Source organism: Homo sapiens, chromosome 1 (assembly GCF_000001405.40).
Source record: "Homo sapiens chromosome 1, GRCh38.p14 Primary Assembly".
NCBI classification, from domain to species: Eukaryota; Metazoa; Chordata; class Mammalia; order Primates; family Hominidae; genus Homo; species Homo sapiens.
In genome coordinates this window covers 170,456,314-170,469,278 of record NC_000001.11, presented here as the reverse complement: position 1 = coordinate 170,469,278, position 12,965 = coordinate 170,456,314, and the positions used below count along the sequence as shown (strand labels likewise).

The window sequence follows — 12,965 nt, the reverse complement described above, 5'->3', positions numbered from 1 at the left end:
ATGAGCATTTTTTCATGTGTCTTTTGGCTGCATAAATGTCTTCTTTTGAGAAGTGTCTGTTCATATGCTTCACCCACTTTTTGATGGGGTTGTTTGTTTTTTTTCTTGTAAATTTGTTTGAGTTCCTTGTAGATTCTGGATATTAGCCCTTTGTCAGATGAGTTGATTGCAAATATTTTCTCCCGTTCTGTAGGTTGCCTGTTCACTCTGATGGTAGTTTCTTTTGCTGTGCAGAAGCTCTTTAGTTTAACTAGATCCCATTTGTCAATTTTGGCTGTTGTTGCCATTGCTTTTGGTGTTTTAGACATGAAGTCCTTGCCTATGCCTATGTCCTGAATGGTAATGCCTAGGTTTTCTTCTAGGGTTTTTATGGTTTTAGGTCTAACATTTAAGTCTTTAATCCATCTTGAATTAATTTTGTATAAGGTGTAAGGACGGGATCCAGTTTCAACTTCCTACATGTAGCTAGCTAGTTTTCCCAGCACCATTTATTAAATAGGGAATCATTTCCCCATTTCCTGTTTTTGTCAGGTTTGTCAAAGATCAGATGGTTGTAGATATGTGGCATTATTTCTGAGGGCTCTGTTCTGTTCCATCGGTCTATATCTCTGTTTTGGTACCAGTACCATGCTGTTTTGGTTACTGTAGCCTTGTAGTATAGTTTGAAGTCAGGTAGCATGATGCCTCCAGCTTTGTTCTTTTGGCTTAGGATTGACTTGGCAATGCGGGCTCTTTTTTGGTTCCATATGAACTTTAAAGTAGTTTTTTCCAATTCTGTGAAGAAAGTCATTGGTAGCTTGATGGGGATGGCATTGAATCTATAAATTACCTTGGGCAGTATGGCCATTTTCACAATATTGATTCTTCCTACCCATGAGCATGGAATGTTCTTCCATTTGTTTGTATCCTCTTTTATTTCCTTGAGCAGTGGTTTGTAGTTCTCCTTGAAGAGGTCCTTCACATCCCTTGTAAGTCAGATTCCAAAGTATTTTATTCTCTTTGAAGCAATTGTGAATGGGAGTTCACTCATGATTTGGCTTTCTGTTTGTCTGTTATTGGTGTATAAGAATGTTTGTGATTTTTGCACATTGATTTTATATCCTGAGACTTTGCTGAAGTTGCTTATCAGCTTAAGGAGATTTTGGGCTGAGACAATGGGGTTTTCTAGATATACAATCATGTCATCTGCAAACAGGGACAATTTGACTTCCTCTTTTCCTACTTGAATACCCTTTATTTCCTTCTCCTGCCTAATTGCCCTGGCCAGAACTTCCAACACTATGTTGAATAGGAGTGGTGAGAGAGGGCATCCCTGTCTTGTGCCAGTTTTCAAAGGGAATGCTTCCAGTTTTTGCCCATTCAGTATCATATTAGCTGTGGGTTTGTCATAGATACCTCTTATTATTTTGAGATACGTCCCATCAATACCTAATTTATTGAGAGTCTTTAGCATGAAGCATTGTTGAATTTTGTCAAAGGCCTTTTCTGCATCTATTGAGAGAATCATGTGGTTTTTGTCTTTGGTTCTGTTTATATGCTGGATTATGTTTATTGATTTGAGTATGTTGAACCAGCCTTGCATCCCAGGGATGAAGTCCACTTGATCGTGGTGGATAAGCTTTTTGATGTGCTGCTGGATTTGGTTTGCCAGTATTTTATTGAACATTTTTACATCGATGTTCATCAGGGATATTGGTCTAAAATTCTCTTTTTTTTGTTGTGTCTCTGCCAGGCTTTGGTATCAGGATGATGCTGGCCTCATAAAATGAGTTAGGGAGGAGTCCCTCTTTTTCTGTTGATTGGAATAGTTTCAGAAGGAATGGTACCAGCTCCTCCTTGTACCTCTGGTAGAATTTGGCTGTCAATCCATCTGGTCCTGGACTTTTTTTGGTTGGTAAGCTATTACTTATTGCCTCAATTTCAGAGCCTGTTATTGTTCTATTCAGAGATTCAACTTCTTCCTGGTTTAGTCTTGGGAGGATGGATGTGTCGAGGAATTTATCCATTTCTTCTAGATTTTCTAGTTTATTCGTGTAGAGGTGTTTATAGTATTCTCTGATGGTAGTTTGTATTTCTGTGGGATCGGTGGTGATATCCCCTTTTTCAATTTTTATTGTGTCTATTTGATTCTTCTCTCTCTCTTTTCTTCTTTATTAGTCTTGCTAGTGGTCTATCAATTTTGTTGATCTTTTCAAAATACCAGCTCCTGGATTCGTTGATTTTTTTGAAGGGTTTTTTGTGTCTCTATTTCCTTCAGTTCTGCTCCGATCTTAGTTATTTCTTGCCTTCTGCTAGCTTTTGAATGTGTTTGCTCTTGCTTCTCTAGTTCTTTTAATCGTGATGTTAGGGTGTCAATTTTAGATCTTTCCTGCTTTCTTTTGTGGGCATTTAGTGCTATAAATTTCCCTCTACAAACTGCTTTGAATGTGTCCCAGAGATTCTGGTATGTTGTGTCTTTGTTCTCATTGGTTTCAAAGAACATCTTTATTTCTGCCTTCATTTCGTTATGTACCCAGTAGTCATTCAGGAGCAGGTTGTTCAGTTTCCATGTACTTGAGCTGTTTTGAGTGAGTTTCTTAATCCTCCATTCTAGTTTGATTGCACTGTGGTCTGAGAGACAGTTGGTTATCATTTCTGTTCTTTTACATTTGCTGAGGAGTGCTTTATTTCCAACTATGTGGTCAATTTTGGAATAAGTGCAATGTGGTGCTGAGAAGAATGTATATTCTGTTGATATGGGGTGGAGAGTTCTGTAGATGTCTATTAGGTCTGCTTGGTGCAGAGCTAAGTTCAATTCCTGGATATCCTTGTTAACTTTATGTCTTGTTGACCTGTCTAATGTTGGCAGTGGGGTGTTAAAGTCTCCCATTATTTTTGTGTGGGAGTCTAAGTCTCTTTGTAGGTCTCTAAGGACTTGCTTTATGAATCTGGGTGCTCCTGTATTGGGTGCATATATATTTAGGATAGTTAGCTCTTCTTGTTGAATTGATCCCTTTACCATTATGTAATGGCCTTCTTTGTCTCTTTTGATCTTTGTTTGTTTAAAGTCTGTTTTATCAGAGTCTAGGATTGCAACCCCTGCCTTTTTTTGTTTTCCATTTGCTTGCTTGATCTTCCTCCATCCCTTTATTTTGAGTCTATGTGTGTCTCTGCATGTGAGATGGGTTTCCTGAATACAGCACACTGATGGGTCTTGACTCTTTATCCAACTTGCCAGTCTGTGTCTTTTAATTGGAGCATTTAGCCCATTTACATTTAAGGTTAATATTGTTATGTGTGAATTTGATCATGTCATTATGATGTTAGCGGGTTATTTTGCTCATTAGTTGATGCAGTTTCTTCCTAGCCTCGATGGTCTTTACAATTTGGCATGTTTTTGCAGTGGCTGGTACTGGTTGTTCCTTTCCATGTTTAGCGCTTCCTTCAGGAGCTCTTTTAGGGCAGGCCTGGTGGTGACAAAAATCTCTCAGCATTTGCTTGTCTGTAAAGTATTTTATTTCTCCTTCACTTATGAAGCTTAGTTTGGCTGGATATGAAATTCTGAGTTGAAAATTCTTTTCTTTAAGAATGTTGAATATTGGCCCCCACTCTCTTCTGGCTTGTAGAGTTTCTGCTGAGAGATCAGCTGTTAGTCTGATTGGCTTCCCTTTATGGGTAACCTGACCTTTCTCTCTGGCTGCCCTTAACATTTTTTCCTTCATTTCAACTTTGGTGAATCTGACAGTTATGTGTCTTGGAGTTGCTCTTCTCGAGGAGTATCTTTGTGGCATTCTCTGTATTTCCTGAATTTGAATGTTGGCCTGCCTTGCTAGATTGGGGAAGTTCTCCTGGATAATATTCTGCAGAGTGTTTTCCAACTTGGTTCCATTCTCCCCGTCACTTTCAGGTACACCAATCAGACATAGATTTGGTCTTTTCACATAGTCCCATATTTCTTGGAGGCTTTGTTCATTTCTTTTTATTCTTTTTTTCTCTAAACTTCTCTTCTCACTTCATTTCATTCATTTGATCTTCCATCACTGATACCGTTTCTTCCAGTTGATTGAATTGGCTACTGAGGCTTGTGCATTCATCACGTAGATCTCGTGTTGTGGTTTTCAGCTCCTTCAGGTCCTTTAAGGACTTCTCTGCATTGGTTATTCTAGTTAGCCATTCGTCTAATCTTTTTTCAACGTTTTTAACTTCTTTGCCATGAGTTCGAACTTCCTCCTTTAGCTCAGAGAAGTTTGATCGTCTGAAGCCTTCTTGTTGCAACTTGTCAAAGTCATTCTCCGTCCAGCTTTGTTCCACTGCTGGTGAGGAGCTGCATTCCTTTGGAGGAGGAGAGGCACTCTGATTTTTAGAATTTTCAGTTTTTCTGCTCTGTTTTTTCCCCATCTTTGCGGTTTTATCTACCTTTGGTCTTTGATGATGGTGATGTACAGATGGGGTTTTGTCATGGATGTCCTTTCTGTTTGTTAGTTTTCCTTCTAACAGTCGGGACCCTCAGCTGCAGGTCTGTTGGAGTTTGCCGGAGGTCCACTCCAGACCCTGTTTGCCTGGGTATCAGCAGCAGTGGCTGCAGAACAGCGAATATTGGTGAACAGCAAATGTTGCTGCTTGATTGTTCCTCTAGAACTTTTGTCTCAGAGGACTACCCGGCCATATGAGGTGTCAGTCTGCCCCTATTAGGGGATGCCTCCCAGTTAGGCTACTCAGGGGTCAGGGACCCACTTGAGGAGGCAGTCTGTCCATTCTCAGATGTCAAGCTGCATGCTGGGAGAACCACTCCTCTCTTCAAAGCTGTCAGACAGGGACATTTAAGTCTGCAGAGGTTTCTGCTGCCTTTTGTTTGGCTATGCCCTGTCCCCAGAGGTGGAATCTACAGAGGCAGGCACTACTTGAGATGTGGTGGGTTCCACCCAGTTCGAGCTTCCTTGCCACTTTGTTTACCTGCTCAAGCCTCAGCAATGGTGGGTGCCCCTCCCCCAGCCTCACTGCCACCTTGCAGTTTGAGCTCAGATTGCTGTGCTAGCAATGAGCGAGGCTCCGTGAGTGTAGCACCCTCTGAACCAGGCGTGGGATCTAATCTCCTGGTGTGCCGTTTCTAAGACTGTTGGAAAAGTGCAGTATTAGGGTGGGAGTGACCTGATTTTCCAGGTGCCATCTGTCATCCCTTTCTTTGGCTAGGAAAGGGAATTCCCTGACCCCTTGTGCTTCCTGGGTGAGACGATGCCTCACCTTGCTTCAGCTCACACTCAGTGTGCTGCACCCACTGTCCTGCACCCACTGTCCAACAATCCCCCATGAGATGAACCCTGTACCTCAGTTGGAAATGCAGAAATCATTCATCTTCTGCGTCGCTCACGCTGGGAGCTGTATACTGGAGCTGTTCCTAATCGGCCATGTTGGCTAGACCCTGACAATCTTTACATATGCTAATGTAGGCACAGGACTCATGGGATTTGGTGACAAAACTCACATTGATATTTTAGGTTAATTATCATACAAATATTTTTAGTTTGTTACTCTTTGGATAACTTTGTATTTCTCCTTGGATAACTTTGGTTTACCTATGTTTCTCACTTTTACTGTTGTTTTCTTCAAAAACCCAGCACCCCCTCCCCAGTTCATTCTTCCCACTCTCATGATTTAATATTCTTGAGAACCCTCTCAGGTTTCATTTTATAGATGAGGAAATTAAGACTTAAAGAAATTAAATAACTTCCTCAAGTCTACACAGCTGGTAAGTAGTAGATCTGGGATTTTGATTCAGATCTATCTGACTCCAAAAATTGCACTTCAACCACAATTTTATTCTTGCATTATTTTAAAAGTTTCCTCTATGCATATACCATTAAGTACTTAATTACATGGTATTATGACTTCTTTGAGCTAGTCTGTGACTCCTGGAACAGTTCATACTCTGGTCTATAAGCATGGGAATGATGAAGCATATATCATCCTTAGTGCTCCTTTCAGTTTATGATGGTTCTGATCCATTGCAAAATTTACAGTTTCTAATACCATTAAGTTTCTAGAGAAAAATAAGCCATTTTCACTGGAGAATCTTTTGGTCTTCTGCTTAACCGTTTCTACTTTGTAGCATACTCAAGCCATCCTGCAGAAACTTTGTTCTGTAAATAACCCTGAAAACTTTGAATGACTGTATATAATTATCACTTGCTAAAGTGTCTGAAGAATTCCTTTTTTTTGGTGGGGTGGGGACGGCATATGTGAGCTATCCAAACTGCCAGTATCCCTGATCACATCATATATACCTTCTCGCCAGGAACAGATGAATACGAATATTACCATTTCTAATAGCTGTTCTGAACTTACACATTTGCTTAATAATGCCTGAGTTGAGGGTAGTGGGATTTGAAAGTGACCTTATATAAACAGACTGAGTTATTTTCAGAGAAATACACAGGGTCAAAGCACACAGGAAGAGTGCATGGTTAGGAAGCATGAGACCCAAGCCTGATTACAGAATCACAAGAAAGAAGAGTGAAGAACAATGTGGTACAATAGAAAGAGCACAATGTGAGATTTAGGCCACCTGTTTTACCTTGACAAAGTTAATTAATGTTTCTGTGCCTAGGTTTCCTAATTTATAAAATTTGGTAAATTATACTGTACAATGACTACGTAAGAATTGCCAAGGAGATTCTTGAAAACACAGATTCCCAGTTTCTACTTAAAGATTCTCATTTAGAATATCTGAGTTTGGACTAGGAATCTCTGTATTTTAACCAGTTGCCCAGGTGACTCTATTGCATACTATATTGGGAAAGAGATTGTATGCTAACCACTCATTGATTCTAAAATTCTCTGCTTCTATGGACTTTTGGTTTTACCCTTATTTTTTTCCTTTTAGGATCCCCATCACAAGGAGGGGAGGGCTACCATCCCAGCTGCAAACTCTCATTCAAGGTTTATGCTGCAGCCAGCAGTGTCCTTGGAGTCTAGTTCAAAGCTGAAGAGAGTGAACCATGGAACTGGGAGCCATTGGCGGAGAGGCTGGCCTGAAGGAAGGGAAGTGTTTCAGCCAGAATGTACTGACGCACAACCAGGAAACCACAAGACTGGTGAGAACCTTTCCAAAACTGAGCTTTATGATCAAAAGAGGTACAGGAAACAGCTCTGCCAAGAGTCCTTTCTGCTCCTGGCTGGAACCCTGAGCTTCTGAGGCTCTCTGAGTCAACTCTCTGAACAGATGCTGTCACCCAAGGAACCATCACTAAAGCATTTTTTTGCTTTGCTCTGAGGTGGCCTCACTGGTGGGTGCAAGTGAGTTACTGTCTCTTTTTCTCTTTCTTGTTTCTTTCTTTTGACAGAAGTTGCCATGTGATTACTCAATTCTGAATTTTAGAGGCCATAGGTTACTGCATTTATGCCCTTTGCCAACTGACTATTGTTTGGTGCTGGGCCTGCATACAAACACGACATCCCCAAACTCTTATCAATACCTAGATCACCTGATGTGAATCTATCAATACCCTGGACTTAACAGGGTATTGAAGGAAAGAGAACCGGCAATTCCTTCATTTCTTACATCCCAGCCAGTAGTCCTTCTCCCAGGCTAGTCTTCCTTTTGTTTCCCCTAAGAATGACTCAACTAGGAATTGCATTCTGATCCCTGTCACAGATATAAATCTTGTCTGGATACAAGGTCAAAATAATTGTGTTCCTGTGGATTCTTTTTCTTTTTTCAACCAGAGTAACTACCAGTTGCCATGAAATAAATCACATCATCATATGGCAGATCCAGCTAATAGCTGAGACTGGCAGGATAACTGAACCGTGTACTCAGAGCTAAATGATGGAGAAATTGGACTGGCCATGGAGCACTTCAAATTGATTGCTTAGTAATGGGATATTTTTCCTGGAAAGACAACAGAATACTTCTGAATTGTTGGTTCTGTCATGGGTACAGGCTCCCATGTACAGGAAAATAAAGAAAGTGTGATGAATTTTTCATCTGGCCTTCTGCCTACTTTCTTGCTTTCTGCATGTCTCCATTTTTAGTCTGTAAGCCCTGCCTAGATGACCAATCACTATTGCCCATGTGGCATAAAACCTACAATTTAACTATACTTCTTACCAAACTCTCAGCAAGTATGAGGTAGCCAACAGCCTTTTCAAGATAATGACTGAGTCTTAGCTTAGGTTTCAGTCATTTTAGGAAACATAAAAAATTCAATGGTGGGAGATCATACACACTCTGCAAAGATGTCAGAAGTCAAGTTTTGGGAGAGTCCACACACAAACTGAGCAGTGATGGTAAAATATATTTTTGAAATATTTCTCCTCTGTGACTGTTATGTGAAGTAGAGCAAACACATTGTGCTGCAGTGCTCTTTGGGACATGCCTTTTTTGGGAAGTGCTAACTTTATACTCTGCTGACACCAAACATTTGAATATAAAACCTTATTTTTTTCTCTCACTCTGCTCCACTTTTGGCTCAGCTTATTCTACCAAAACACACTTCAAAAGACTTCTTTATAGAAAGAATGTTTCAAAAATATAATATTTCCATCTGTTATTTCAATAATACATGCTCTGGGACTCTCTTTATGAACCACTTTCCTTTCTTTGCTCCCATTTAGATGTATAAATATTTGATTGTAAAGCTCTAAGGAATAGTCAGCCAATCGGGTCACTGAATTGTGAACATTCCTAACCCTATAATTTTGTCTGTAGCAGGCACCTCCTGCTGTGGAACTAACTGCTAAGGGATTATAGCAATGTAATCCTCAGACTGTTCCATCTCAAGGTTACTCTGAAGTGGAGGGAAGGAAGCCGTTTTAATTTTGATAAAATAAACTTTATTTTGTAACTTTATTATTTGTTTTTCTTTTTCCTTTCAACACTTCATAATAGATGTGTCTGGTAATTTGAAGTTAGCCTCTCTGGTTGAGGTGCCCTAAACCACCTCGTATTATTGTAGCTTTCTTAAGAGGCCACACAGCATTTGTTTCTGTCATTACAAAGTGTAGAACTTGAGTTTTTCTACCTCTCATGAGCTGAACCAAGCCACATATGGACCCTTATTAACATGGTCAATTAGGTGCATTCCTAATGGGTGGCAACAGAAGATGCATGGAAAGTGTCATGCCACCCATGTATGTTTGAAATGTCAGACCATGTGCAAAACTTTAAGTTACTTTTCTGCTTCCTAGGCTTTGCCTACCAGACCTTTATTTCAGCAATTATTGAAGCAATTGCATTTAAGGTTACAACATGAATTTCATGGGAACTCCCTGTTCGATATAAATGGAAACATGTTCCTTGGAATAAAATATCTTTATGAGTGAAGTTTAATATATTTTGAATCAGGCCCAAAGAGATCTTTTGCTGTGAGTGAAGAATAAAGTAAAAATTCCATTAATAAAATTTTATGGCTGTATAGGTGGAGAAAAATCTTTTCCACATAAAAATATTTTCATGTTTTTCTCAAATTAAAAAAATGGAAAGTTATTGATAGTCACTTAAAACTAAGCCTAATTATTAGAATATAGATAGCCAAATATTTCTGGAGACAATAGGGCAAAAATATTTTAGAGTTTTAAAATGTCTGTAACTTTAACCAAGAAATTATGCTTTTAGAAGTCTACTCAGGAAATACAACTTGAAATGCTGGATACATTTTAAAAATCATTTTGATGACATTGGAGAGGTATAAGCCAGTCAAAAATTGAGAGTTCAAGATTGTCAAGATGACAAAAGAACCAGGAGAGGAGCCTGAAAATTGGTGCTACCTTTCCTATCCAGGTCAACAAAATTGAGAAACTGAGGGCTGCTTTTGGCAGTTCCATGGGACCGAGGGGACAAAAATTAGATATTAGAATTTGTGAATGTGTCAGGGACCTGGTAAACAACCAGGTTTTCAGTTGGGATCCCTAAAGGGATACAAATTGGAATTAATAATGAACAGAATAAGTCCTTCCAGTGACTGAAACAAACTGTCATATCAGTTTAATCCCTTGTTATATTAAAGCAATCTTCCTAGGCTAATAATACACTGAAAACAAAATAAATACTCTATGGAGGGAGATAACATCATCAAAAGCATAAAGGTATTGCTAAAATATTTCATATACAATGTTAGCATTTAATAAAATATTACCACACCTTCTAGGAGGCAATGGCAAATGCTAAAAACTTAAGAGAAAAAAAAACAGGAAAAAATAAAATAAAACAGACCTATAGGAGAGACATTTATTAGAGTTAGCAGACATGGACCTTTAAATAACTTTGATAAATATTCTAACTAAAAGGACAACATGAAGAGAATTGTATAGAACTGGAATCTAGAAAAACAATGAAATTGGAATTCTAGAGTAGAAATGCAATAACTGAATTTAAAAGTCAATTTAAAAATCAGTGTGTGGGTTTAAGAGCCAATTAGACACAGCCAAAAATAGAATTAGTAAATTAGAAGATAAGTCAGTGAAAATATTCAGAAAAAAGTATAGAGAAACAAAGTAAAGGAAAGCACAGAGGATAAGAGACATATAGGAAATAATGAAAATATCTATCAAATGTGTAATCACAATTTTAGAAGAAGAAAAAGAGAGAGAATGGGGAAGAAGCAATATTGGAAGAGACAATGGCTGATAATTTTCCAAAACTGCTGAAAAACATCAACACATAGATTCAAGAAGAGTTATGAATTCCACATAGAAAACTATGAAGTAAACCACACCATAATAAAGGAACATCATAATAAAGCTCCTAAAAAACAAAGAGAGAGGGTGGCTGGCAAGATGGCTGAATAGGCACAGCTCCAGTCTGCAGCTCCCAGCGAGATCAATGCAGAAGGCGGGTGATTTCTGCATTTCCAATGGAGGCACCCAGCTTATCTCATTGGGACTGATTAGACAGTGGGTGCAGCCCATGGAGGGTTAGATGAAGCAGGGTGGGGTGTCACCTCACCCGGGAAGTGCAAGGGGTTGGAGAACTCCCTCCCCTAGCCAAGGGAGCCATGAGGGACTGTGTCATGAGGAACGATGCACTCTGGCCCAGATACTGTGCTTTTCCCATGCTCTTTGTTACCAGCAGACAGGAGATTCCCTTGGGTGCCTATGCCACCAGGGCTCTGGGTTTCAAGCACAAAACTGTGCAGCCGTTTGGGCAGACACCAAGCTAGCTGCAGGAGTTTTTTTTTTTTTTTTTTTTTTTTAATGCCCCAGTGGCGCCTGGAATAGCAGCTAGACAGAACTGTTCACTCTCCTGGAAAGGGGGCTGAAGCCAGGGAGATGGGTGGTCTAGCTCAGCATATCCCACCCCCATGGAGCCCAGAAATCTAAGATCCACTGGCTTGAAATTCTTGCTGCCAGCACAGCAGTCTGAAGTAGACCTGGGATGCTCAAGCTTGGTGGGGGGAGGGGCGTCGAACATTACTGAGGCTTGAGTAGGCGGTTTACCCCTCACAGTGTAAACAAAGCTGCCTGGAAGTTAGAACTGCAAACAACTTGAAATGCTGAGTAAATTTCAGCAGCTCGTCAAAGCTGCTGTAGCCAGACTGCCTCTCTAGATTCCTCCTCTCTGGGCAGAGCACCTCTGAAATAAAGGCAGTAGCCCCACTCAGGGGCTTATAGTTAAACTCCCATCTCCCTGGGACAGAGCACCTGGGGGAAGGGGTGGCTATGGGCACAGCTTCAGCAGACTTAAACATTCCTGCCTGCAAGCTCTAGAGAGAGAAGTGGATGTCTTAGCACAGTGCTCAAGCTCTGCTAAGAGATAGACTGCATCCTTAAGTGGGTCCCTGATCCCCATGCCTCCTGACTGGGAGACACCTACCAGCAGGGGTCAGCGGACACCTTATACAGGAGAGCTCTGGCTGGCATCTGGCAGGTACCCCTCTAGGATGAAGTTTCCAGAGGAAGGAACAGACAGCAGTCTTTGCTGTTCTGCAGCCTCTGCTGGTGATACCCAGGCAAACAGGGTATGGAGTGGACCTCCAGCAAACTCCAGCAGACCTGCAGCAGAGGCCTGACTGTTAGAAGGAAAACTAACACACAGAAAGGAATAGCATGAACATCAACAAAAAGGACGTCCAAAGAAAAACCCCATCCGAAGGTCACCAACATCAAAGACCAAAGCTAGATAAATCCACAAAGATGAAGAAAAACCAGTGTAAAAAGGTTGAAAATTCCAAAAACCAGAATGCCTCTTCTCCTCCAAAGGATCACAACTCCTCGCCAGCAAGAGAGCAAAGCTGGATGGAGAATGAGTTTGACGAACTGACAGAAGTAGGCTTCAGAAGGTGAGTAATAAGAAATTCCTCCAAGCTAAAGAAGCATGTTCTAACCAAATGCAAGGAAGCTAAGAACCTTGAAAAAAGGTTAGAGGAATTGTTAACCAGAATAACCAGTTTAGAGAAGAACATAAATGACTTGATGGAGCTGAAAACCTTAGCATGAGAACTTTGTGAAGCATACACAAGTATCAATAGCCAAATTGATCATGCAAAAGAAAGAATATCAGAGATTGAAGATCAACTTAATGAAATAAAGCATGAAGACAAGATTAGAGAAAAAAGAATGAAAAGGAATGAACAAAGCCTCCAAGAAATATGGGATTATGTAAAAAGACCAAACCTACGTATTATTGTTGTACCTGAAAGTGACTGAGAGAATGGAACCAAGTTGGAAAACACTCTTCAGGATATTATTCAGGAGAACTTCTTCAACCTAGCAAGACAGGCCAACATCCAAATTCAGGAAATACAAAGAACACCACTAAGATACTCCTTGAGAAGAGCAACCACAGGACACATCATCATCAGATTCACCAAGGTTGAAATGAAGGAAAAAAATGAGTGAGTTTCTTAATCCTGAGTTCTGATTTGATTGCATTGTGGTCTAACAGCAGATCTCTCAGCAGAAACCCTACAAGCCAGAAGAGAGTGGGGGCCAATATTCAACATTTTTCTTTCTTCCTTTTTTTTTTTTTTTTTGAGATGGAGTCTCGCTCT

General features: G+C 40.2%; 1 long non-coding RNA gene across 1 annotated transcript in view; it reads left to right on the top strand.

Moving 5' to 3' along the window:
• GORAB-AS1 (GORAB antisense RNA 1) overlaps positions 1 to 7,962 on the top strand; it is a 71,293-nt gene extending 63,331 nt beyond the window's left edge. Inside the window, exons 2-3 of the long non-coding RNA NR_125958.1 lie at positions 6,860 to 7,070; positions 7,702 to 7,962. This is a non-coding gene — a long non-coding RNA (GORAB antisense RNA 1). The remainder of the gene's footprint in view (positions 1 to 6,859; positions 7,071 to 7,701) is intronic.
• Positions 7,963 to 12,965: the final 5,003 nt, after the last annotated feature.